Source organism: Homo sapiens, chromosome 19 (assembly GCF_000001405.40).
Source record: "Homo sapiens chromosome 19, GRCh38.p14 Primary Assembly".
Taxonomy (NCBI): Eukaryota; Metazoa; Chordata; class Mammalia; order Primates; family Hominidae; genus Homo; species Homo sapiens.
Window position 1 is genome coordinate 4,246,922 of NC_000019.10, and position 24,924 is coordinate 4,271,845.

The window sequence follows — 24,924 nt, forward strand, 5'->3', positions numbered from 1 at the left end:
TTATTTCGCGCTACTCAGGTTGCAACTCCGGAGGGAAGACGCTGGGACTTCCAGCTTGATAGGCGGGGATTGGAACCAATGAAAGAGGTCTGCTGTGTATGCTGCAGCCAATAATAGCGGCCGAAGGAAGTGACGTTTGCGGAAGTAAGGCTTCCGTCGGAAAAGCTCGATAATTACCCAGCCTAACCATTTCTCAGGTGCTTGCGAGGTGATCAGAAGGCAAAGATGTCGGAGCGAAAAGTATTAAACGTAAGTGTTGGGCGACTGGGGCTTTTCAATCGGAGCAGGACATCCCGGAACTCCGGGAGAGGGAGGAGCTTCCTGAGATCTCTTCTTTGGAACCCTTCTTTCCCAGCGGCCTTCCGCGAGATGGGGCTTCCCAGACTCCTCCCTAGACTCCTCCCCATCGCCTTCCGTCGGGGGGGTGGGCCTTCGCTAAGTCTCCCTTCTGGGCTGGGGTGTAGTTAGTCACCTGCGGGGCGTGGCTTGGGCTTTTACCCAATCACCACCAGATAGGGTTTTTTTTCTGGGGGCGGGGCTTCCTTAAATGCTGGCGGCCGTGTTTTGCCCTCTTCTTGAGGGGCGTGGCTCTGAGAAGCCCCGCCCCACTTGGGGACTGTAACCAATCGTGTACTTTGGGTGGGGTGGGGTGGGGTGGCGCGTGTGTGTGTGTGTGTGTGTGTGTGTGTGTGTGTGTGTGTGTGTGTGTGTGTGTGTGTGTGTGTGTGTGTGTGTGTGTGTGTGTGTGTGTGTGTGTGTGTGTGTGTGTGTGTGTGTTTTGTTTTTTTTACTGGGGTCTGGTCATGCAGATAACCTCTGCCTTACAGTGGCCAAGATTTTACTGGGGTCTGGTCATGCAGATAACCTCTGCCTGACAGTGGCCAAGATTCCAGACTCCCAGAAGAAAAGCAGAGGTTCAGTATAAACTATACTGTTGGCACACTTCTGTTTTTTGGTTTTTTGAGATGGAGTTTTGCGCTTGCTTCCCAGGCTGGAGTGCAGTGGCACGTTCTTGGCTCACTGCAGCTTCTGCCTCCTGGGTTCAAGCGATTCTCCTGCCTCAGCCTCCTGAGTAGCTGGGACTGCAGGCGCCCGCCACCATGCCTGGTTAATTTTTTTTGTATTTTAGTAGAGATGAGATTTCACCATGTTGCCCAGGGTGGTTTTGAACTCTTGATCTCAGGCATTCCACCCACCTCATACTCCCAAAGTGCTGGAATTACAGGCGTGAGCCACCGCGCCCGGCCCCACGCAGGTCTTTCTAGGAGAGCAGTCTCAGGCTTGCTGTAGGAACTCCTGGGAAACAGGAGCCCTGGGATACAAAGGGAGTGTGAGTATGGATTATGACAGATACCTCCACTGCACCACTGGAAAATAAAGCACTTTGTGTTTGGAGCACCTACTGGGTGCCAGACACTGCAAAGAGCACTTTATCCCCCTTGCCTCAAGGAATGCGTGCAAAGACTCTTGGAGACAGAGGACAGTGTGCGCATTTCACAGAGGAGTAAACTGAGCCCTGCAGGTTTCAGCTCCTCAGGATTCAGATCCAGGGAGATGACTCTGTAGGAAACGGATGTAGTATCGTGATTGGGAGGCTGAGCTAACAGAGTCCTGGTTTACCCTCTACAGAATTGCTGGGGAGTTGGGACTCCTCGGGGAACTCGGTCTCCTGCCTGAACAACAGAAGTGCTAAGCAAAGCTTAACCTCTACAAAGGGCAGGGCATGATGGCTCACGTGTGTAATACCAGCTCTTTGGGAGGCCAAGGCAGGTGGATCACCTGAGGTCAGGAGTTCGAGACTAGCCTGGCCAACATGGTGAAACCCCATCTCTACTAAAAATACAAAAATTAGCGGGGAGTGGTGGTGGGCGCCTGTAATCCCAGCTACTGTAGAGGCTGAGGCAGGAGAATCGCTTGAACCCAGGAGGCGGAGGTTGCAGTGAGCCAAGATCGCGCCACTGGACTCCAGCCTGGGCAACAAGAGCAAAACTCCGTCTCAGAACAAAAACAAAAACAAACCCTGGCTTTTTAGAGCTTCCCGTGTAGACAGCATTTCATGTGTATTGTCATGACTGGTATTTAGGAGAATTAAATGCGTCCTGTATAACTCCACTAGGAGAGAGTCAGGAAGCTTGTGCCTGGCCTCCCTCTGACTGTACTGAGTCCTGCGAGTCCTCCCTGCCTGTCGCGGAACCTGGGGTGGGCTTGGGGACCCCCGACACAGCTCCCCAGAGCCCCTTCCCTCTGCCATGTCCTGCCCCTGCTTCTGAAAATAACTCCCCCAACGTTTCCTTCCTCCCCTGCAGAAATACTACCCGCCGGACTTTGACCCATCAAAGATCCCCAAACTCAAGCTCCCCAAAGACCGGCAGTACGTGGTGCGGCTGATGGCCCCCTTCAACATGAGGTGAGCACCCCCTGCGTGACCCCACACACCAGTCATGGCTGAAGGACGCAGTGCCTGGCATCCACAGAGGTGACTCGTCCGGTGTTAAGACCAGATCACTGGTCTTAGACATTGTCCTGGCTCAGACATTGACCATTCCAACCCTCCTTCGCCTCACCACTTGGGATTAAGCTTTGGATCTTTTAGAGCCCTCCAGCCAGTGCCTGCCTTGAGATCATGGTGGTTAGTAAACGTGTGTGCAGAGAGGATAGGACGCCACAGAGATGCAGCCCCATAGATATATTTCAGCTCCTCCAACAGCCAAGCTCGTTCCTACCCCAGGGCCTTTGCACACACTGCTGCCCCTGCTTGGAACTCTCTCCCTCTACTTTCTTTCTTTCTTTTTTTTTTTTTGTTGAGACAGAGTCTTGCCGTGTTGCCCAGGCTGGAGTGCAGTGGCGTGATCTCAGCTCACTGCAACCTCCACCTCCTGGCTTCAAGCGATTCTCCTGCCTCAGCCTCCCAAGTAGCTGGGATTACAGGCGTGCACCACCACGCCCGGCTAATTTTTGTATTTTCAGTAGAGTTGGTGTTTTACCATGTTGGCCAAGCTGGTCTCGAACTCCTGACCTCAGGTGATCTGCCCTCCTTGGCCTCCCAAAGTGCTGGGATTGCAGGCGTGAGCTGCCGCACCTGGCCTTCTCCTTCTACTTACACATGGCAGGCTCCTCTTGTCTGCCATAGGTCATGGCTCCAATCTCACCCCTCCGGGAGGCCTCCATCATCCCCTCACGGTGCCCAGATCTTGCCTTTTGTAGCACTTCAGAATTACTGTATTTCACCAACTCTCAACCCCATACCTTTTCATGCTCTAGCATATCTGAAATCACGCACCTAACGAGGAAAGAGACATCTGGGTCAGTGAAATTCGGTTCATGCCCATGTGTTGTTGGCCTGTCTACTCCTCCCCCTCATTCATTCATTTATTCATTCAACACTCATTTATTGGGCACCTGCTGTGTGCCAGGGTCTGTGCCGAGCGCCAGGAACAAAGTCCCTGGCCTCATGGAGCCCACAGTCTAATGGGAAGTGGAGAATAGTGGTAGTCAGGCAGGTGCACGGGCCCCCGAAGTCAGGCAGGAGAGAGCCCCTGGGGCAGTGGCGCAGGAGGGAGGGCTATAGGTAGCTGGGGTACGGTGACATCAGGCAAAATACTGGTGGCGCTGAGGTCTGAGGATGAAGGGTGTCGCCGGCCATGAGACTGTAGGAGCAGAGGCCTTGAGCTGGGACTGAGCTGGGGGTGTTTGCAGGATCAGACAGGAGGCGGGCGTGCTGGGCTGGGGAGCAGAGCCCGGAGTAGGAGGGGAAGAGGGGGGTGGGGCAGCATTTTTCTGTGTGGCATCTTTCCTCCTGGAGGGTGGGGTGCCCCGTAAGCACAAAGATTGCTTCTGGGAGTGCATGACAGGCAGGCCTCACCTACTCAGGGGGCTTCCCAAGCAGGCGACCCTTGGACTGAGCCCCAGGAAGATATGAATGAGAACACGAAGTTCTCAGGTAGAGGAAATTTGGACACAGGGTGGGGCAGCCTGCCTCTTGAAGGAGGGAGCTCCCCGTTGCTGGAGGCAAGCAAGCAGTGATCTTGCAGGATGCCGCAGGGACAGCCTGCCAGTGGGAGCCAGCGTCCCAAGACAGCTCACATCCCTACATGCTGCCCCGCAGGTGTAAGACGTGCGGAGAATACATCTACAAGGGGAAGAAATTCAATGCTCGGAAGGAGACGGTGCAGAACGAGGTCTACCTGGGCCTGCCCATCTTCCGCTTTTACATCAAGTGCACGCGCTGCCTGGCAGAGATCACCTTCAAGGTAGGTGAGACGGCCGGCCAGGCCGGTCCCTCTCCCCCAGCACACCTCAGATCAGGGCGGGCCCTGGGGTTCCTTAACTCCAATCCTCTCCATCCAGGGAATCTCATTTCAGTTTATCCCCAAGAAACAGACAACAGTTTGGGGGAGATGTTCATGGCAGCATTCTAAATAAAGGCAAAAAGACAGAAGCAACCTAGATAGATAATAATAAGGGATGAGAAGAACAAATTAGCATGCAGGCTGGGCATGGCTCACACCTGTACTCCCAGCACTTTGGGCGGCCAAGGCGGGCAGATCACCTGAGGTCAGAAGTTCAAGACCACCCTAGCCAACATGGCGAAATGCCATGTCTACTAAAAATACAAAAATTACTGGGCATGGTGGCGGACTATAATCCCAGTTACTCGAGAGGCTAAGGCAGGAGAATCACTTGAAGCTGGGAGGCAGAGGTTGCAGTGAGCGAAGATTGCACCGCTATACTCCAGTCTGGGTGACAGAGCAAGACTCCAACTAAAAAAAAAAAAAAAAAAAGCCAGGCACAGTGGCTCATGCCTGTAATTCCAGCAGGTTGGGAGGCCAAGGCAGGAAAGAGAGCCCCTGAGGTCAGGAGTTTGAGACCAGCCTGGCCAACATGGTGAAACCCCGTCTCTACTAAAAATACAAAAGTGAGCCAGGCGTGGTGGCTCATGCCTGTAATCTCAGGTACTTGGGAGACCAAAGCAGGAGAATCGCTTGAACCCGAGAGGGAGAGGTTGCAGTGAGCCAACATTGCGCCATTGCACTCCAGCCTGAGCAACGAAATGAAACTCTGTCTCAAAAAGAAAAAAAAAAGTAGCGTGCAATGGAATATTACACAGCCAATAAAAATTGCAATTTGACTTTTATTTGTTACCTTGAGAATTTAAGGAAAGACTGAAGATAACTTAAAATTTTCTCTTCCTATGCTTAAGTACTCTTTGAATACTTTTTTGCCATAAGCTTTTTTTCTTTGATTAAAAAAACATTTTGGGCTGGGCGCAGTGGCTCACAGCTATAATCAGCACTTTGGGAGGCCAAGGCAAGTGGATCAGTTGAGGTCAGGAGTTCGAGACCAGCCTGGACAACATGATGAAACCCCAACTCTACTAAAAAAAAATACAAAAATAGGCCGGGCGCAGTGGCTCACGCCTCTAATCCCAGTACTTTGGGAGGCTGAGGCAGGCGGATCATGAGGTCAGGAGATCGAGACCATCCTGGCTAACACAGTGAAACCCCGTCTCTACTAAAAAAAAAGCAGAAAAAAATTAGCCAGGCGTGGTGGCGGGTGCCTGTAGTCCCAGCTACTCGGGAGGCTGAGACAAGAGAATGGCGTGAACCCAGGAGGCGGAGCTTGCAGTGAGCTGAGATCGCGCCACTGCACTCCAGCCTGGGCGACAGAGCGAGACTCCGTCTCAAAAATAAATAAATAAATTAATAATAATAATAATATTTTGGCTGGGTGCAGTGGCTCACGCCTGTAATCCCAACACTTTGAGAGGTCAAGGGAGAAGGATCGCTTAAATCCAGGAATTCAAGACCAGCTTGGGCAACATAGTGAGATCCCGTCAGTACAAAAAAATATAAAAATTAGCTGGGCATGATGGCATGCGCCTATAGTCCTAGCTACTTGGGAGGCTGAGGCAGGAGAATCAATTGAGTCTGGGAGGCCAAGGCTGCAGTGAGCCATGATTTCACTGCTATACTCCAGCCTGAGTGACAGAGTGAGACCCTGTCTGCAAAAAAACAAACAAAAACTTTTTTTGAAATACCTGAAGATTTACAGAAAAGTTCCAAAGATAGTACAGATAATTCTCACCTACCCCCTCACCAACTTCCCCGAATATTAGCATCTTATATAACCAGGGTACATCTGTCACAGTAAGATACTAAGGGTGGGGCCAGGCATGGTGGCTTACTCCCAGCGCTTTGAGAAGGCAAGGCAGGAGGATTGCTGGGGACCAGAAGTTCAAGACTAGCCTGGGCAACATAGTGAGACCCTGTCCGTGTCTACACACACACACACACACACACACACACACACACACACAAATTTTAATTAAAAAAAGAAACTAAAGGTGGAATGTTACCATTAACATTGTAGGCTGTGGCTGGGTGCAGTGGCTCATGCCTGTAATCCCGGCACTTTGGAGGCCAAAGCAGGAGGATCGGTTGAGTCCAAGAGTTAGAGACCAGCCTGGGCAACATGGCGAAACCCTGTCTCTACCAAAAAGAAATTTAAAAATTAGCCAGGTGTGATGGTGCATACCTGTAGTCCCAGCTACTCGGCAGGCTAAGGTGAGAGGATTGCTTGAACCCGGGAGGCTGAGGTTGCAGTGAGCCATGATCCTGCCGCTGCACTCCGGCCTGGGCAACAGCACGAGACCCTGTCCCCAAAAAAATAAAAAACATAGTGTTACTATTAGCATTTAGACCAAAGGTAGATTTCAGTTTTTCTGCTAATGTCACTTTTCTGTTCCAGTGTGTAATTTAAGATACCAGGGTGTATTTAGCCTCTCTATTCAATAAACAAAAACAGGGGCATGCTGTATACATATTTGTACATGTGATTTATAATCAAAGAAAAGGTGTTAATAAATACAAAGGGCAGAAATCACAACATGTGCAGAACCTTGGAGATTTTTTTTTTTTTTTGAGACAGGGTCTCACTTTGTAGCCAAGGCTGGAGTACAGTGGTGTGATCTCAGCCTCCCAGGTTCATGTGATTCTCATGCCTCAGCCTCCAGAGTAGCTGGGATTACAGGCATGCACCACCTTGCCCTGCCTAATTTTTTGTATTTTTAGTAGAGACAGGGTTTCTCCATGTTGGCCAGGCTGGTCTTGAATACCTGACCTCCAGTGATCCACCTGCCTCATTGGAGAGTTTGTTTGCAGTCATGTTAAGGGTAGGGAGTGGAGGATGCAGGGAGGCAGTGGGCAGATGAGAAGAGTCTTAAAGTCCATGCCAGGGAGTTGGGCATTTTTGCCCATGGAGATGGGAGGAGCACTAGGAAGAAATCTCACCAGTCAAAGCAATAAGACAAGAAAAAGAGAAGGTAGTAGAACCAGTAAAAATCAGAGAGAAGGGGCCCTGATCTGCTGGTGGTACTTTAGAAGATTCTAGTGCCTGGGGATGTAGGAGCTGATGTCTGTCTATCCTCCCTGCAGACAGACCCTGAAAACACAGACTACACCATGGAGCATGGAGCCACGCGGAATTTCCAGGCTGAGAAGCTCCTGGAGGAGGAGGAGAAGAGGGTGCAGAAGGAGCGGGAGGACGAGGAGCTGAACAACCCCATGAAGGTGAGTCGGGGGCCATGTAGGTGTTCATGGGCGCTGTGTGTGTGGGTGTGTGTGTGTGCCAATGGTTGTGCCCTTCCTGCCTCAGGTCCCCAAGGAAGGAAGATGGGGTGGGGGGCGTGGTTGGTAAAACTTTAAGATGTCCCCAGGAGGCCAGGCATAGTGGCTCATGCCTGTAATCTCAGCACTTTGGGAGGCTGAGGCGGGAGGATCACTTGAGGTCAGGAGTCCTAGACCAGCCTGGCCAATGTGGCGAAACCCTGTTCCTACTAAAAATTTTAAAACTTAACACTGGGCGCAGTGGCTCACACCTGTAATCCCAGCACTTTTGGAGGCCGAAGTGGGTGGGTCACGAGGTCAGGAGTTTGAGACCAGCCTGACCAACATGGTGAAACCCCGTCTCTACTAAAAATACAAAAATTAGCCAGGCATGGTGGCACGCTTCTGGAATTACAGCTACTCAGGAGGCTGAGGCAGGAGAATCGCTTGAACCGGGGAGGCAGATGTTGCAGGAAGCCGAGATGGCGCCACTGCACTCCAGCCTGGGTGACAGAGTGAGATTCTGTCTCCAAAAAAAAAAAAAAAAAATTAGTCAAGCATGGTGGCGCATGCCTGTAATCTCAGCTACTTGGGAGGCTGAGGCAGGAGAATTGCATGAACCCGGGAGGCAGAGGTTGCAGTGAGCCGAGATCAAACCACTGCACTCCAGCCTGGGCAGCAAAGCAAGACTCTGTCTCAAAAAAAATAAATAAATAAAAGAAATTATGTTCACTTCCAATAGGACAATTTTGTATTTTCTCAGAAATATTAAAAGGAGCCATGCATGGTGGCTTGAACCTGTAGTCCCAGCTACTTTAGGGGTTGAGACAGGAGGATCACTTGAGTCTAGGAGTCAAAGACCAGCCTGGGCAACATAGTGAGACTCTGTCTCTATAAAACATTAAAAAATTAGCCAGGTGCTTGCCAGGCGTGGTGGCTCACACCTGTAATCGCAGCACTTTGGGAGGCCAAGGCAGGTGGATCACAAGGTCAGGAGTTCAAGACCAGCCTGGCCAAGAGGGTGAAACCCCGTCTCTACTAAAAATACAAAAAATTAGCCGGGCATGGTGGCAGACACCTGTAATCCCAGCTACTCGGGAGGCTGAGGCAGAGAATTGCTTGAACTCAGGAGGCAGAGGCTGCAGTGAGCTGAGATCATGCCACTGCACTCCAGCCTGGGTGACAGAGCAAGATTCTGTGTCAAAAAAAAAAAAAAAAAAAAAATCAGCCAAGTGCTTTGGGAGGCTGAGGCAGGCGGATCACCTGAGGTCAGGAGTTCAAGACCAGCTTGGCCAACACGGCGAAACCCTGTCTCTACTAAAAATACAAAAATTAACCAGGCGTGGTGGCACGCGCCTATAATCCAAGCTACTCAGGAGGCTGAGGCAGGAGAATTGCTTGAACCCAGGAGGCGGAGGTTGCAGTGAGCCAAGATCGCGCCATTGCACTTCAGCCTGGGCAACAAGAGTAAAACTCTGTCTCAACAACAACAACAAAAATTAGGCAGGTGTACTGGTGTGCACCTGTGGTCCCACCTACTAGGGAGGCTGAGGCGGGAGGATCACTTGAGCCCAGGAAGTTGAGGCTGCAGTTAGCTATGATCACATCACTGCACTCCAGCCTGGAAGACAGCAAGACTGTCGCAAAAAAAAAAAAATATATATATATATATATATATATATGTACACACACATATACATATATATACATACACATATATATATAAAACAGATTTTTAAATGACTGTGTTCCCTGCTGTCCCCTCCTGCTTCCATATTTCCCATCCATTCTTATCTATTCCTGGACCCACCCACCCCTGCCAAATGTGAGTTTTCTGAGCAAGCCACATCAGACCAGATACAACATTTTCCATGGCCATGCAGAGCAACAGGGAGGGAAATGAGCCTTGGCAAGGGTTTGGTGTGTGCCTGGGCCTGTCGCACTGCTGTCTGTGTGTGAATTTAGTTACCTCCACACTGACAGCAAGGGGCTCTTACCCTGGTGTTAGTCAGCTATTGCTACATAACAGGTTATCCCAAAACTTAGTGACTGAAAACAACAAACATTTATTATCCCACAGTTTTTGAGAGTCAGGCATCCAGAAGCAGCTGAGCTGGATGGTTGTGGCTTGGGGGCTCCCATGAGGTTGCAGTCAAGGTGTTGGCCAGGGCAGTATCATCTGAAGGCTGGACTGGGGCTGGAGGAGCCACTCGCAAACTGGCTCCCTCTACTGGCTGTTGGCTGTCAGCCTCAGTTCCTCGCTGTGTGGGGAGCTGCTTGAGCAACCTCACAACATGGCAGCTGCGTACCCCAGAGCATGTGACCCAAGAGTGAGAGCAAGGAGGAAGGCCTGTGCTTTTACATCCTAGTCTCAGAAGTTACGTGCCATTATTTCTGTCATATTCCATTAGAGCAAGTAGCTTGTCCAGCCCCTGCTCAAGGGGAGGGGAGTCACCTCCACCCCTTAAATGGAGGAGCATCAGAGAGTTTGTGGACATACTTTTAAACTGTCAGAATTGCCATTTTTCCAAAGGGTAAATACAACAAGGTCACAGCACTGGGAAGCAGCCAGGCAGGATTCACTCCCAACCTGCCTGGCTCCAAAGCCACTTCTCAGGGACCCGTGGCCACCAGACTCGCCTCCCTCAGCCTCAGTTTCCGTTTCTGTAAAATGGGGGTTGTGAGGATTAAATGAGATGGCATATGGAAACCTCTTAGCCCAGGGCCCGGTGTACAGTAGGTGCTCAGGTTGTCTTTTACAATTTTTCCTTAATATTATTATTTTTGAGATAGAGTCTCGCTCTGTCACCCAAGCTGGAATGCATTGGCACGATCTGAGCTCAGTCAACCTCTGCCTCCTGGGTTCAAGTGATTCTCCTGCCTCAGCCTCCCAAGTAGCTGGGATTACAGGTGTGTGCCACCACGCCTGGATAATTTTTGTATTTTTATTATTTATTTATTTTTTTGAGATGGAGTCTCACTCTGTCACCCAGGTTGGAGTCCAGTGGTGCAATCTTGGTTCACTGCAACCTCTGCCTCCCGGGTTCAAGCAATTCTCCTGCCTCAGCCTCCCAAGTAGCTGGGATTACAGGCACATGCCACTACGCCCAGCTACTTTTTGTATTTTTAGTAGAGATGGGGTTTCGTCATGTTGGCCAGGCTGGTCTTGAACTCCTGACCTCAAGTGATCTGTCTGCCTCGGCCTCCCAAAGTGCTGGGATTACAGGCGTGACCCATAACACCCAGCCTGTATTTTTAGTAGAGACAGGGTTTCACCATGTTGGCCAGGCTGGTCTCGAACTCCTGATCTCAGGTGATCCGCCCGCTCCGGCCTCCCAAAATGCTGGGATTACAGACGTGAGCCACTGTGCCTGGCCAAATTTTTCCTTATTATTCTTACTGAAAGATGGCACCAGGCCAGAAATCCAGGCCACCTGGGTCCAGAGCCAGCCTCTTTCCACCCCACCCTGCCCCAGGGCTCAGATCCCGGCTCCACCACTGCTCAGCCCCATGTGGTCACTTTCCCTCCCCAGACCTGAGTGTTCTCACCTGTGAAATGGACACAGCGCTGGGCATGGGCAGGGGGTTCCCTGAGCAGGATGGAAACGTGGGGGTAGGGGTTCCTCCCGTGGCCCGCAGTGGCCCCCGAGGCCAGACAGGGTTTGCCCCGTGGTGCGATCCCCATGCACTCAGCCCCGCCGCCCCGCGCCCGCCAGGTGCTGGAGAACCGGACCAAGGACTCCAAGCTGGAGATGGAGGTGCTGGAGAACCTCCAGGAGCTGAAAGACCTGAACCAGCGGCAGGCGCACGTGGACTTCGAGGCTATGCTGAGGCAGCACCGCCTGTCGGAGGAGGAGCGGCGGAGGCAGCAGCAGGAGGAGGACGAGCAGGAGACCGCGTGAGTCAGGGCCGGCCCAACCCAGCCCCACCTCGCAGCCTCTGCCCCGGCAGGCGCTGCCTCTGCCCCAGACCCTTTCCCCGCTCTCTGGAGTGTCGCCTTTGCAAGGACCCCTTTCCCACCGCCCATCTCACTTTCTCCCTTGTGGCGTCTCTCGAGGGGGTCCCAGGCCACTGCCGGGCACGGTGACTTAGCACGTGGTCGCCCGCATGGCTGCGGTTTGTCACAGCGAGAGGACACAGCAGATTCAGCAAAGGGGAAAGGCATGTGTGGTGTGTCGGGGGCCAGGCCTTCCAGATCCTCTCCTGGTGGAGCTTCGCAGGACGCGCCTCATCCCCTAGCACCAGCCTGGAGGACTCGAGAAAGGCGCCATCACTAGGGAAGCTCCTAGAGACCCAGCGTGGGGTTCCTATGGGGCCTGGTCCCACAGCCCCCGCTGCCTCACCCATGCCGGGATTCCAGACTCCAGAGGAAAGCAGGGGTCACGCATAAACCATGGTGTTTGCAGGAACAGCTGAAGCCCCAGAGCCCGTCCCATCCATGAGGGTGGGAGGCCCCCAGCACAGGCTCCCGGACACCCACCAAGGGACGCCCTCACCAGCCGCCTTCTGAGGACACAGCCTCAGGCCTCCTGGGTGAACACTTTTCTTTTTTTTTTTTTTTTTTTTTTTTTTTTTGAGACGGAGTCTCCCTCTGCTGCCCAGGCTGGAGGGCAGTGGCGCCATCTCGCTCACTGCAAGCTCCGCCTCCCGGGTTCATGCCATTCTGCCTCAGCCTCCCGAGTAGCTGGGATTAGAGGCATCCGCCACCAAGCCCGGCTAATTTTTTGTAATTTTTAGTAGAGATGGGGTTTCACCGTGTTAGCCAGGATGGTCTCGATCTCCTGACCTCGTGATCCGCCCGCCTCGGCCTCCCAAAGTGCTGGGATTGCAGGCGTGAGCCACCGCGCCCGGACGACGCTTTTCTTTTTCTTTGAGACGGGGTTTTGCTCTGCCGCCCAGGCTGGAGTGCAGTAGTGCAGTCATAGCTCACTGTAGCCTCCATCTCCCGGGCTCAAGCGTTCCTCCTGCCTCAGCCTTCTGGGTAGCTGGGACCACAGGGACACATCACCATGCCCAGCTAATTGTTTTTATTTCTGTAGAGACAGGACCTCGCTATGTTGGACAGGCTGGTTTTGAACTCCTGGCCTCAAGCGATCCTCCCACCTTAGTCTCCTGAAGTGCTGGATGACACGTGTGAGCCCCTGTGGTTGGCTGGTGAATGCCTTTGACGCCGACCACCTCTGAGCCCGCGTGCTGATCCCCTCCTTTCCTGGTGCCTCATCTCCCCTCCCTCCTTTAGAATCTGAGCTGTAAGGACAGGGACGTGGTGGCCTCTCCTGTGTCCCCAGGGCTTCCAGCAGGTAGGTTCTGGTAGGTTCCACGTCAGTGCCTGATGGGTGTGCAGAGCAGCGATACCGTGCAGAACAGTGTTGGGAGCCTGCGTTCATCCTGCACCTTCCGGGTGCCGGGCGTGGCTGTAACCTCACTACCCACACAGCCCTGGGGGTCAGTGTGATCTTCATCATGGAGGGGACTGAGGTCCAGGGAGGTCCAGGCATGAGCCCCACCAAGGTTACCCTCCAGGCTCCATCCAGACAGGCTGGTTCCGGCATCCAGGCACTTAACCACACCACTGCCCTCGGTGGACACGGAAAAGTTAATGTAAAAAAGTAGAAGGGGCCGGGCGCAGGGTCTCCTGCCTGCCATCCTGCACTGTGGGAGGCTGAGGCGGGCGGATCACCTGAGGTCAGCAGTTCGAGACCAGCCTGGCCAACATGGCGAAACCCCATCTGTACTAAAAATACAAAAACAAATTAGCTGGGCGTGGTGGCAGATGCCTGTAATTCCAGCTGCTCCAGAGGCTGAGACAGGAGAATTGCCTGAACCCGGGAGGCAGAGGTTATAGTGAGCCGAGATGGTGCCACTGAACTCCAGCCTGGGCGACAGAGCAAGATTCCTCCTAAAAAAAATGAAAATTAAAAAGTAGACTAGGTGCGGTCGGTGGCTCACGCCCGTAATCCCAGCACTTTGGGAGGCTGAAGTGGGCGTATCACCTGAGGTCAGGAGTTCGAGACCAGCCTGGCCAAGATGGTGAAACCCCGTCTCTACTAAAACTACAGAAATTAGCTGGACATGGTGGTATGTGCCTGTAGTCCTAGCTAACATTTTTAATTTTTTTAGAGACGGGGTCTCGCTATGTTGCCCAGGCTGGTCTCTAACCCCTGGCTCAAGCGATCCTCCCGTCTCAGCGTCCCAAAGAGCTGGGATGACAGGCATGAGCCACTGCATCTGGCCCCTTTAATCTGTTTTATGTTTAAATAGAGGAAGTGGTAACCACTGGGTTAAGGAAGTCCCAATGGGTGCTCTGCCCTCACGGAGCTCACTGTGTGGGGAGGGAGAGGGACAAGGAGACCAATACCCAGGACAACATCCATCTGGGTGAGAGAGAAGCCAGGATGCGTGAGCTTGAATTATGAGGATGAGCTTCTCAGAGGAAGAGCGTCTTGCATTGGGTATTGAAGGTCGAGTAGGAGTTCACCAAGCGAGTGCTTGGCAAAGGGGTCATCCCAGGTAAGGGGATGTAGGCCCCTGATTTTTAAAATCCTTTTTGCAGAGATGCGGTCTTGCTGTGTTGCCCAGGCTGGTCTCATGCTCCTGGCCTTAAGCATTTCTCCTGCCTTGGCCTCTAAAGGCACAGGGATTACAGACATCAGCCACCATGTCTGGCCCCAAGACATTTTTCTAAAAGACATTTTCTTTGAAGCTATATCCCCTGATTAGAGTTCTCACACTGTGGTTCTCACATAAACCACTCCCAGAATTAGAGACCGGCCTGGCCAAGATGGCGAAACCCCGCCTCTACTAAAAATACAAAAATTAGCTGGACACGGTGGTGCGTGCCTGTAGTCCTAGCTGCTCGGTAGGCTGAGGCTGGAGAATCGCTTGAACCCAGGAGGCGGAGGTTGCAGTGAGCCAAGATCACGCCACTGCACTCCAGCCTGGACAACAAAGACTCCATCTCAAAAAAGAAAAAAAAAATACAAAAATTAGCCGGGTGTGGTGGCAGGCACCTGTAATCCCAGGTACTTGGGAAGCTGAGGCAGGAGAATCGCTTCAACCTGGGAGGTGGGGGTTGCAGTGAGCCAAGATTGCGCCACTGCACTCCAGCCTGGGCAACAGAGCGAGACTCTGTCTCAAAAATAAAATGAAATAAAATTTAATAAGGCATAGGAACACGCCTGTGGACCCAGCTACTCAGGAAGCTGAGTGGGGAGGATCGCTTGAGCCCAGGAGGTTGAGGTTGCAGTGAGCTGTGATTGTGCCACTTCACCCTCCCTGAGTGACAGAGTGAGACCTTGTCTCTTAAAAAAAAAAAGTAATCTGTGCTCCCCCTACTCCCTCCCACCCCTGCTCACTGAGGGCAGGAAGAGGTCTCCAGGCACCCAGGCCCCTCGCCACCCCAGCAGGTACATCCCAGGCACTGTTCCCCAAACAGAGCACGTCCAAGTTCCCATCTTCCATCCCACAGGGCCCTGTTGGAGGAAGCCAGAAAGCGAAGACTGCTGGAGGACTCCGACTCAGAGGATGAGGCTGCTCCCTCGCCCCTGCAGCCAGCCCTTCGGCCCAACCCCACCGCCATCCTGGATGAGGTAAGTGGGGTGCCTGAGTCCTGGGGGCTCCCAGGTGAACTAGGGACAACTGAAGCCAGGGGTCAGCTTGACTTTTTCTTTTGTTTTTTGTTTTTGTTTTTTGAGACGGAGTCTCGCTCTGTCGCCTAGGCTGGAGTGCAGTGGCACGATCTTGGCTCACTGCAACCTCTGCCTCCCAGGTTCAAGCGATTCTCCTGCCTCAGCCTCCCGAGTAGCTGGGACTACAGGCACGCGCCACCAAGCCCAGCTAATTTTTTGTATTTTTAGTAGAGATGGGGTTTCACCATGTTGGGAAGGATGGTCTCAATCTCTTCACCTCGTGATCCGCCCGCCTAGGCCTCCCAAAGTGCTGGGATTACAGGCGTGAGCCACCATGCCCGACCAGAACTTGACTTTTTCTTAAAAGGCCAGTCTGCACCCTAACTCCTCCACCCTGTGGCTGTAGCCCAAAACACCCATGATCAGGTGTAAATAAGTGGGTGTTGCCTGGTGCCAATAAATCTTTATTTATAGGCGGGGTGCAGTGGCTCATGCCTGTAATCCCAGCATTTTGGGAGGCCAAGGCAGGAGGATCGCTTGAGGCCGGGAGTTTGAGACCAGCCTGGGCAACAAAGTGAGACCCCTTCTTTACAAAATTACAAAAATTAGTCATGGGTGGTGGTGCATGTCTGTGGTCCCAGCTGTTTGAGAGACTGAGGCAGGAGGACCGCTTGAGCCCAGAAGGTCAAGGCTGCAGTGAGCTGCATCAGTATGACCGAACTCCAGCCTGAGCAAGAGTGAGACCCTGTCTAAAATAAACAAATAAAAATTAAGGCTGAGTGCAGTGGCTCACGCTTGTAATCCCAGCTACTCAGAAGGCTGAGGCAGGAGAATCGCTTGAACCCGGGAGGCGGAGGTTGCAGCGAGCCGAGATCGTGCCACTGCACCCCAGCCTGGGTGACAGAATGAGACTCTGTCTCAAAAAAAAAAAAAAAAAAACTTAATTTACTAAAACTGGTGGCAGGCCTATGGGTCTGTAATTCGCCAACCCCTGTTTAAGCTGCCGAAAGAAGAGAATGTAAAGAAAGAACATAGAAATTTATTTCTCAGTCATAACAGCCCTGGGCTGACAGTCTAGGACTTCGGGCAGCTCTGCTCCTTGGAACCATTCAGGGACTCAGCCTCCTTCCTTCTGGAGCACGGCTTCCTGCGCTGTGGCCACAGCTGGCTCAGAGCACCTTCAGGGTCCGGCTGTGGGAAGGCAAAAAGTGTGTGGAGGACCACGCAGCCTCAGATGCGGCCCACCTCAGTTCTTCTCTCATGCCAGAGGCCACAGCATAGTCACAAGGCCCCATCTGGTGGCGAAGGAAACTGTGAGATGCATCCTCCAGCTGGTCCGTGCCTGGCTGTGCTGCCAACTAGAACGAAGGGAGGCCGGGCACCGTGGCTCAAAGTGCTGTAATCCCAGCACTTTGGGAGGCCGAGGCAGGCGGATCATCTGAGGTCAGGAGTTCGAGACCAGCCTGGCCAACATGGAGAAACCCTGTCTCTACTAAAAATACAAAAATTAGCTGGACATGGCGGTGCCTGCCTGTAATCCCAGTTACTCGGGAGGCTGAGGCAGGAGAATCACTTGAACCTGGGAGGCAGAGGTTGCAGTGAGCTGAGATTGTGCCATTGCCCTCCAGCCTGGGCAACAGAGTGAGACTCTATCTCAAAAAAAAAAAAAAAAAAAAGGAGGAAGGAGTTTTGGTGGATGACCAGCATTTTCCACCACAGCTGACTCATCCAAGGTGGCCTCAGCCACTCTGGTTTGTTCATTGAAGAAGGTGGTAAAAGTAGGGGCTCATAAACCAATAACACAGACACACAGAAACGATTGTTCTCGGCCGGGCGCGGTGGCTCACACCTGTAATCCCAGCACTTTGGGAGGCCAAGGCGGGTGGATCACGAGGTCAGGAGATCGAGATCATCCTATCTAACACGGTGAAACCCCATCTCTGCTAAAAATACAAAAAATTAGCCGGGCGTGGTGGCGGGCGCCTGTAGTCCCAGCTACTCAGGAGGCTGAGACAGGAGAATGGCGTGAACCCAGGAGGTGGAGCTTGCAGTGAGCCGAGATTGTGCCACTGCACTCCAGCCTGGGCGACAGAGCGAGACTCTGTCTCAAAAAAAAAAAAAAAAAAAAAAAAAGAAACGATTGTTCTTTCTTCCTTTTTTGTTTGTTTGTTTGACACAGGGTCTTACTCTGTTGCCCAGGCTGGAGTGCAGTAATGCAGTCCCAGCTCACTGCAGCCTGAACCTCCTAGGCTCAAGCAATCCTCCCACCTCAGTCTCCTGAGCAGCTGGGACCACAGGCACGCACCACCACGCCTGGCTAATTTTTCTTTTCTTTCTTTCTTTTTTTTTTTTTAGACAGTTTCACTCTTGTTGCCCAGGCTGGAGTGCAGTGGTGTGATCTTGGCTCACTGCAACCTTCGCCCCCCGGGTTCAAGCGATTCTACTGCCTCAGCCTCCCAAGTAGCTGGGATTACAGGCGCCTGCCACCATGCCCGGCTAATTTTTGTATTTTTAGTAGAGATGGCGTTTCACCATGTTGGCCAGGCTGATCTAGAACTCCTGACCTCAGGTGATTCACCTGACTCGGCCGCCCAAAGTGCTGGGATTACAGGCGTGAGCCACTGTGCCTGGCCCCTAATTTTTCAAATTCTTTTTGCAGAGATGCGGTCTTGCTGTGTTGCCCAGGCTGGTCTCACGCACCTGGCCTCAAGCAGTTCTCCCGCCAAGGCACAGGGATTACAGACATCAGCCACCATGTCTGGCCCCAAGACATTTTTCTAAAAGACATTTTCTTTGAAGCTGTGTCCTCTGATTAGAGTTCTCACACTGTGGTTCTCACATAAACCACTCCCAGAATTCATTGTCTACAACTTCCTCTCTTCTTTTCTTTTTTTTTTGAATGAATCAACAGAGTAAAGGTACTTTGAAAGCAGTCCAACCTTTTTTGATTTACTCCCTCAGTCTTGTGCCTCTACCTGATTTGATAGCAGGTGTTTTATTTGGTTTTAACGTGATTCACCTTCATCAAGACTTTTCAAACCTTCACCCTAACTTTTATAGGAAGGAATATCTCCACACTTGCGTTTTCTTGGTTTATTTTATTTTTATTTTAGAGATGAGGTCTTGCTCTGTCACCCAGGCTGGAGTGCAGTGACGCGATCACAGCTCGCTGCAGCCTCCAACTCCTGGGCTCAAATGATCCTCCCACCTCAGCCTCTCAAGTAGCTGGGACCCACAAGTGTGTAGTGTGTGCCACCACAGCCAGCTAATTTTTAATTTTCTTTTCTTTTTTTTTTTTTAGAGGCGAGTCTGTATGTTGTCTAGGCTGGTCTCAAACTCCTATCCTCAAGCAGTCCTCCCGCCTTGGCCTCCCAATCCTTAGTTTAGTTTAATGATGATGAGTACCACCTGTAGAAACAGGTTTGGGAACTAACCTAGGTAACTTTTTTTTTTTTGAGACGGTCTTGTTCTTTCGCCCAGGCTGGAGTGCAGTGGCACGGTCTCGGCTCACTGCAACCTCCGGCTCCCAGCCTGTAGCAATTGTCCTGCCTTAGCCTCCTGAGTAGCTGGGATTACAGGCGTGTGCTACCACACCTGGCTAGGTTTTGTATTTTCTTTTTATTAATAAAGAGACGGGGTTTCACCATGTTGACCAGGCTGGTCTCGAACTCTTGACCTCAAGTGGTCCACCCGCCTCGGCCTCCCAAAGTGTTGGGATTACAGGTGTGTGCCTCTGTGCCTGGCCATCTGTGCCTTTTGACTTCTTTTCCTCATTTTGACATCAGCCCAGAGCTACGACATTTTTTTTTTTTTTTTTCGAGACGGCGTCTCGCCCTGTCACCCAGGCTGGAGTGCAGTGGCACGATCTCGGCTCACTGCAACCTCTGCCTCCCAGGTTCAAGCGATTCTCCTGCCTCAGTCTCCCGAGTAGCTGGGATTACAGGCGTGTGCCACCAAGCCTGGCTAATTTCTTGTATTTATAGTAGAGACGGGCTTTCACCGTGTTAGCCAGGATGGTCTCTATCTGACCTCGTGATCCACCTGCCTTGGCCTCCCAAAGTGCCGGGATTAGAAGCATGAGCCACTGCGCCCGGCCCAGAGCCACAACTTTAAGGAGGCCTCTCCACCACCTTAGCAGTGGCCGCCCCTCACACCGTCAGCTTGGCACTCAAGGTCTCTGCCCATTCTCCATCCCACCTAGCCTGCCCTGGCACTTCCTGAATCACACTGTGGCTTCTCATCACGCCTTTACCCATGCCATTCCCCTTACCTGGGATGCCCCCTTTGCCAAGCACTCGCTTGGTGAACTCCTACTCGCCCTTCAATACCCAATGCAAGACGCCCTTCCTCTGAGAAGCTCATCCTCACAATTCAAGCTCACGCACCCTGGCTTCTCTCTCACCCAGATGGATGTTATCCTGGGTATTGGTCTCCTTGTCCCTCTCCCTCCCCACACGGTGAGCTCCGTGAGGGCAGAGCACCCATTGGGACTTCCTTAACCCAGTGGTTACCACTTCCTCTATTTAAACATAAAACAGATTGAAGAGGCTAGATGCAGTGGCTCACGCCTGTCATCCCAGCTCTTTGGGACGCTGAGACGGGAGGATCGCTTGAGCCAGGAGTTTGAGACCAGCCTGGGCAACATAGCGAGATCCCGTCTCTACAAAAATTAAAAATGTTAGCCTGCCATGGTGGCGTGCACCTGCAGGAGGCTGAGGCAGGAGAATCGCTTGAGCCCAGGAGTTCGAGGCTGCAGTGAGCTATGATTGCACCACTGCACTCCAGCCTGGGCAATAGAGTGAGACCTTCCCCCCAAAAAAATTTTTTTAATAATATAGATTAAAGGGTCCCTTCTGTTGCAGTTAAGGAGCTGGAGGCCTTTTCTACCTGCCCCTAACTCTTTCTCAAGGCGGCTTCCTCCATTTTCACTCGTTCTCTCAAGTACATTGAGCACCTCCTTGTGCCAGGAACTGTTTGTGGCACCGCAGAGCCAGCAGTGGGGAAGACAGGAGCTCACGGCAGAGTTGGGGAGAGAGTTATAACAGCCAGCAGAGGGCACTGTGAGCGTGGACATGCAGCCTGCATGTGAGCTTGAACCATGATGGGCTTCTCAGAGGAGGGGTGTCTTGTGTTGGGTATTGAAGGGTGAGTAGGAGTTCACCAAGCGAGTGCATGGAAAAGGGGGCATCCCTGGTGAAGGGAATAGCATGGGTAAAGGCGTGGAGATGAGAAGCCATGGTGTGACTCAGGAAGTGCCAGACCAGGCTATGTGGGATGGAGAATGGGCAGAGGCCTTGAGTGCCAAGCCTAGGGCAGTGGGGAGCCATAGAGGAGTTTAGAGCAGAGGAGGAATGTGGTCAGTGCAGCAGTGGAAGAGTGGGCATGGGGCAGTGAGCAGGGGTTGTGGCGAGGGGCCAGACTGGGCCCTGGATCCGGGCCAGACCCCCACATGTGTCCCCATCACCTGCAGGCCCCAAAGCCCAAGAGGAAGGTGGAGGTCTGGGAGCAGAGCGTTGGCAGCCTGGGCAGCCGGCCCCCGCTGTCGAGGCTGGTCGTGGTGAAGAAGGCAAAGGCCGACCCGGACTGCAGCAACGGGCAGCCTCAGGCGGCCCCCACCCCAGGTAAGGTCACAGAGTTCCCAGAGCCGGGCGCGGTTTCTATAGTGGCCTGTAGGTGGCAGCAGCTCCCTTTGCAGTTACAGAGACTTCATGGGGTGGGTGGGGGCGGCCTGCGACCCCCACAGGACCAATTAGTGGAGTGAGCAGAGAAGGCAGGCGGCTTCTTTTTTTCTTTTTTCTTTTTTCTTTTTTTTTTTTTGAGACAGAGTCTTGCTCTGTTGCCCAGGCTGGAGTGCAGTGGTGCCATCTCGGCTCACCGCAACCTCCGCCTCCCTGGTTTGAGCAGTTCTCTGCCTCAGCCTCCCAAGTAGCTGGGACTACAGCACCACGCCCGGCTAAATTTTTGTATTATTAGTAGAGGTGGGATTTCTCCATGTTGGTCAGGCTGGTCTGGAACTCCCGACCTCAGGTGATCCACTCACCTCGGCCTCCCAAAATGCTGGGATTACAGGCATGAGCCACCGCGCCCGGCCTGTTTTTGTCTTTTAGTTGCCTTAGTATGATGTTTCCTAAGGCGATTAAGTCCACAGTGACTGGACTGTGAACTTTGCGCCATTTCCATTCTTGGCAGCGCACGTTGCCTGCCTGGGCAAGGTTTGCATTGGCCATTGTTCAGAAGCGGAGCTGTTGAGTCCCGGGTGTGCAGATGTAAATCTGCAATGGGTCCCATCAGGTGCCATCCAGAAAGGCCAGGCCATTCACATGCTGTCACCTCTGGACCTTGCAAACCTGCAGAGGTGGCCGGCCCCGTGCCTTGTCCCTGGCCTGTCTGCTGTGGAGCTGAGATGAGCTAACTCTCGCTCTCCCACCAGGAGCCCCGCAGAACAGGAAGGAGGCCAACCCTACACCCCTGACGCCTGGCGCGTCCTCCCTGAGCCAACTGGGTGCATACCTGGACAGTGACGACAGCAACGGCAGCAACTGAGCCCTCCCAGGACCCCCTCACGGGGTCAAAGTCACACGTCCAGCTTCAGCCACATTGAGGCCAGCATTGCTGGTGGTCAGGGCAGGAGGCCTTGGCGTGACTGGAGGCCGGACAGACAAGCGCCAGCGTGCTCCAACACATAGGGCCACCAGGGGCCTCAGCCCCAGGAGGTCCCTTCTCTGTGCCCTCACCAGCCTCTCAACACCTCGGGGACCCCTGCTGCTCCTGCCCCCACCTGTCACTGTGCTTAGGGCTGCAACATCCCTGGAGCAGCTTCCAACACTACTTCAGGGTGGCAGTGTTTGGGGCACTGGGCGAGCCTGCCGGCCTCTAGATGGCCTCATCTCTTCCTTCCACAAACTGTCTAGAACCAATAAAAGGAAACCTGCCAACCGCCTGGGCCCCTTCTCTCTCCCAGAGTCTGATGAGGAGGTCCCAGGACCTCCTCTGTTAGCACAATTCGAGGGTCATTCCACAGAGGTTTGTTTGTGTCTTGAGACAGGATCTCACTCTGTTGCCCAGGCTGGAGTGCGGTAGCGTATTCTTGACTCACTGCAGCCTTGAACTTCCGAGCTCAGGTGATCCTCCCACCTCAGCCTCGCGAGTCGCTGAGACCTCAGGTGGATGCCACCATTCCTGGCTAACTTTTTGTATATTTAGTAGAGACTGGGTTTCATCATGTTGCCCAGGCTGATCTTGAACTCATGGGCTCAAGTGATCCTCCTGCCTCAGCCTCACAAAGTGCTGGGGTCACAGGCATAAGCCACTGTAACAGGCATGAGCCCAGATATTTATATTTAGTTGTCGCCTGAGTGTGCATCTGGGCTCTTTTTGTTTTCTCTTCTTTTTTTTTTTCTTTCTTTACCTTTTTTTTTTTTTTTTTTTTTTGGAGACGACGTCTCGCTCTTGTCCCCCAGGCTGGAGTGCGATGGCGCGATCTTGGCTCACTGCAACCTCCGCCTCCCGGGTTCAAGCGATTCTCCTGCCTCAGCCTCCAGAGTAGCTGGGATTACAGGCGCCCGCCACCACGCCTGGCTTAATTTTTGTATTTTTAGTAGAGACAGGGTTTCACCATGTTGGCCAGGCTGGTCTTGAACTCCTGACCTCAGGTGATCTGCCTGCCTCAGCCTCCCAAAGTGCTAAGATTACAGGCCTGAGCCATTGTGCCCTGCCTGTACAATCTTTTTGTTTGTTTGTTTGAGACAGAGTCTCCCTCTGTTGCCCAGGCTAGAGTGCAGTGGTGTGATCTTGGCTCACTGCAACCTCCACCTCCCAGGTTCAAGCAATTCTCTGCCTCAGCCTCCCCAGCAGCTGGGATTACAGGTGCCTGCCACCACGCCCAGCTAATTTTTGTGTTTTTAGTAGAGACGGGTCTCACCATCTTGGCCAGGCTGGTCTTGAACTCCTGACCTCAGGTGATCTGACTGCCTCAGCCTCCCAAAGTGCAGGGATTACAGGCGTGAGACACTGCACCAGCCTGGAATCTTTTAAAGTGAACAATATGAACCTTCTTTGAGTAGGCAGTTCCATTTCTGGCTGTCTGTTCTAAGAGGTATTTGCCCACATTCATAAGGAAACACCCACGAGGAGGTTTGTCGTGACACTGTGTTTAGCAGCAACATTATGGGGAACGAACCCAATGTCCCCAGTAGGTGAAGGCTGAACTCTGGCATAAATAATGGAATTCCAGCCGGGTGTGGTGGCTCAGGCCTGGAATCCCAGCTACTTGGGAGGCTGAGGTGGGAGGATCACTTGAGCCCGGGAGATTGAGGCTGCAGTGAGGTGTAACTGTACCACTGCACTCCAGCCTTGGTGAGAGACCAAGATCCTGCCTGAAAAAGGGGGAGGGGGGTGGGGAGCTAGGCCCAGGACAGGAACTGTGGCATGTTCCTGTAATCCCAGGACTTTGGGGGGCTGAGGCAGGAGGGTTGGTTGAAGACAGGAGGTCGAGTCCAGACTGGGCAACATGGCCAGACCGTTTCTCAATTTGTCTTTTTTTAAAGAAAGGTGGGGCACGGTGGCTCACGCATGTAATCCCAGCACTTTGGGAGGCCACGGCGGGCAGATCACCTGAGGTCAGGAGTTCAAGACCAGCCTGGCCAACATGGTGAGACTCCCACCACCCCCACTAAAAATAAAAAAATTAGTCAGATGTGGTGGCGGGCACCTGTAATCCCAGCTAATTGGTAGGCTGAGGCAGGAGGATCACTTGAACCTGGAAGGTGGAGGTTGCAGTGAGCTGAGATCATGCCACTGCACTCCAGCCTGGGCAACAGAGTGAGATTCCATCTCAAAAAATAATTAATTAAAAAAAAAGATGCTACAATTTGCCTTCAAAGGGGCTGCGCTCTACATACTCAACAAGGATGGGACTCACTGGCTTTATGAGTAGAAAGCTCTGGCTGGGAAGTTCCCCTCCTCGGCGGGGGCAGCAGAAGGAGTTGGCAGAGGGAAGGAAGGAACCTGTGTTTATCAAATGTTCCCTGAGCATTTGGCAGAAACAAAGTTGAACTCCCACTTCCAACACCCGTTCTTATTTTAATTTTAATTTTTTTTTTTTTTGAGACAGCATCTCACTCTATCACCCCCGCTGGAGTGCAGTGGCAGGATCTCGGCTCACTGCAACCTCCGCCTCCCGGGTTCAAGCGATTCTCCTGCCTCAGCCTCCAGAGTAGCTGGGATGACAGGCACGCGCCACCCTGCCTGGCTTAATTTTTGTATTTTTAGTAGAGATGGGGTTTTGCCATGTTGCCAGGCTGGTCTCGAACTCCTGACCTCAAGTGATTCGCCCGCCTCAGCTCCCAAACTGCTGGGATTACAGGCGTGAGCTACCGCACCCGGCCCCCAAAAAACTTTTATGTATTATATATTTTTACAATAACATATAAATAATGTATACCGAAGGTGGTGAAAATAAAGCAGGTGAGTGTGTTCTAAGGAGATGCAGAGGGGATGCCTTGGGAACGTGTTTATTGCCCATCTCTCCCTCTGTTTGTTTTCTGGTGCTGCATAACAAATTATACCAAAACTGAACAACTTAAAAACAACATAGAGCTGGGTGTGGTTTCATTGGGTCTCCCGCTTTAAGGTTTAGCAAGAATGCAATCAAGACAGAGGCCAGGCTGGGCGCAGTGGCTCATGGCTGTAAT

General features: G+C 52.6%; 1 protein-coding gene across 1 annotated transcript, besides 1 other annotated feature; it reads left to right on the top strand.

The window, feature by feature from the left end:
• YJU2 (YJU2 splicing factor homolog) lies at positions 159–22,167 on the top strand. The gene is made up of 8 exons (NM_018074.6): positions 159–249; positions 2,307–2,407; positions 4,106–4,250; positions 7,434–7,568; positions 11,321–11,502; positions 15,073–15,193; positions 20,703–20,853; positions 21,663–22,167. Exons 1-8 carry the CDS (start codon positions 226–228, stop codon positions 21,773–21,775), a joined length of 972 nt encoding a protein of 323 aa, NP_060544.2. The 5' UTR covers positions 159–225; the 3' UTR covers positions 21,776–22,167.
• Positions 229–318: an enhancer, noted in NCBI's record as "active region_13766". NCBI's record gives its function as "activates an Ori minimal core promoter by ATAC-STARR-seq in GM12878 lymphoblastoid cells {active_cell/tissue: GM12878}" and the evidence as "EXISTENCE:reporter gene assay evidence [ECO:0000049][PMID:35858748]".
• Positions 22,168–24,924: the final 2,757 nt, after the last annotated feature.

Bases quoted from the DNA above. Each gene is read 5' to 3' on its own strand.
- YJU2 (NM_018074.6), top strand. From the start codon at position 226: ATGTCGGAGCGAAAAGTATTAAAC. The intron at 2,408-4,105 runs GTGAGCACCCCC...GCTGCCCCGCAG, and splicing joins ATGGCCCCCTTCAACATGAG to GTGTAAGACGTGCGGAGAAT. The intron at 11,503-15,072 runs GTGAGTCAGGGC...TCCATCCCACAG, and splicing joins GAGGACGAGCAGGAGACCGC to GGCCCTGTTGGAGGAAGCCA.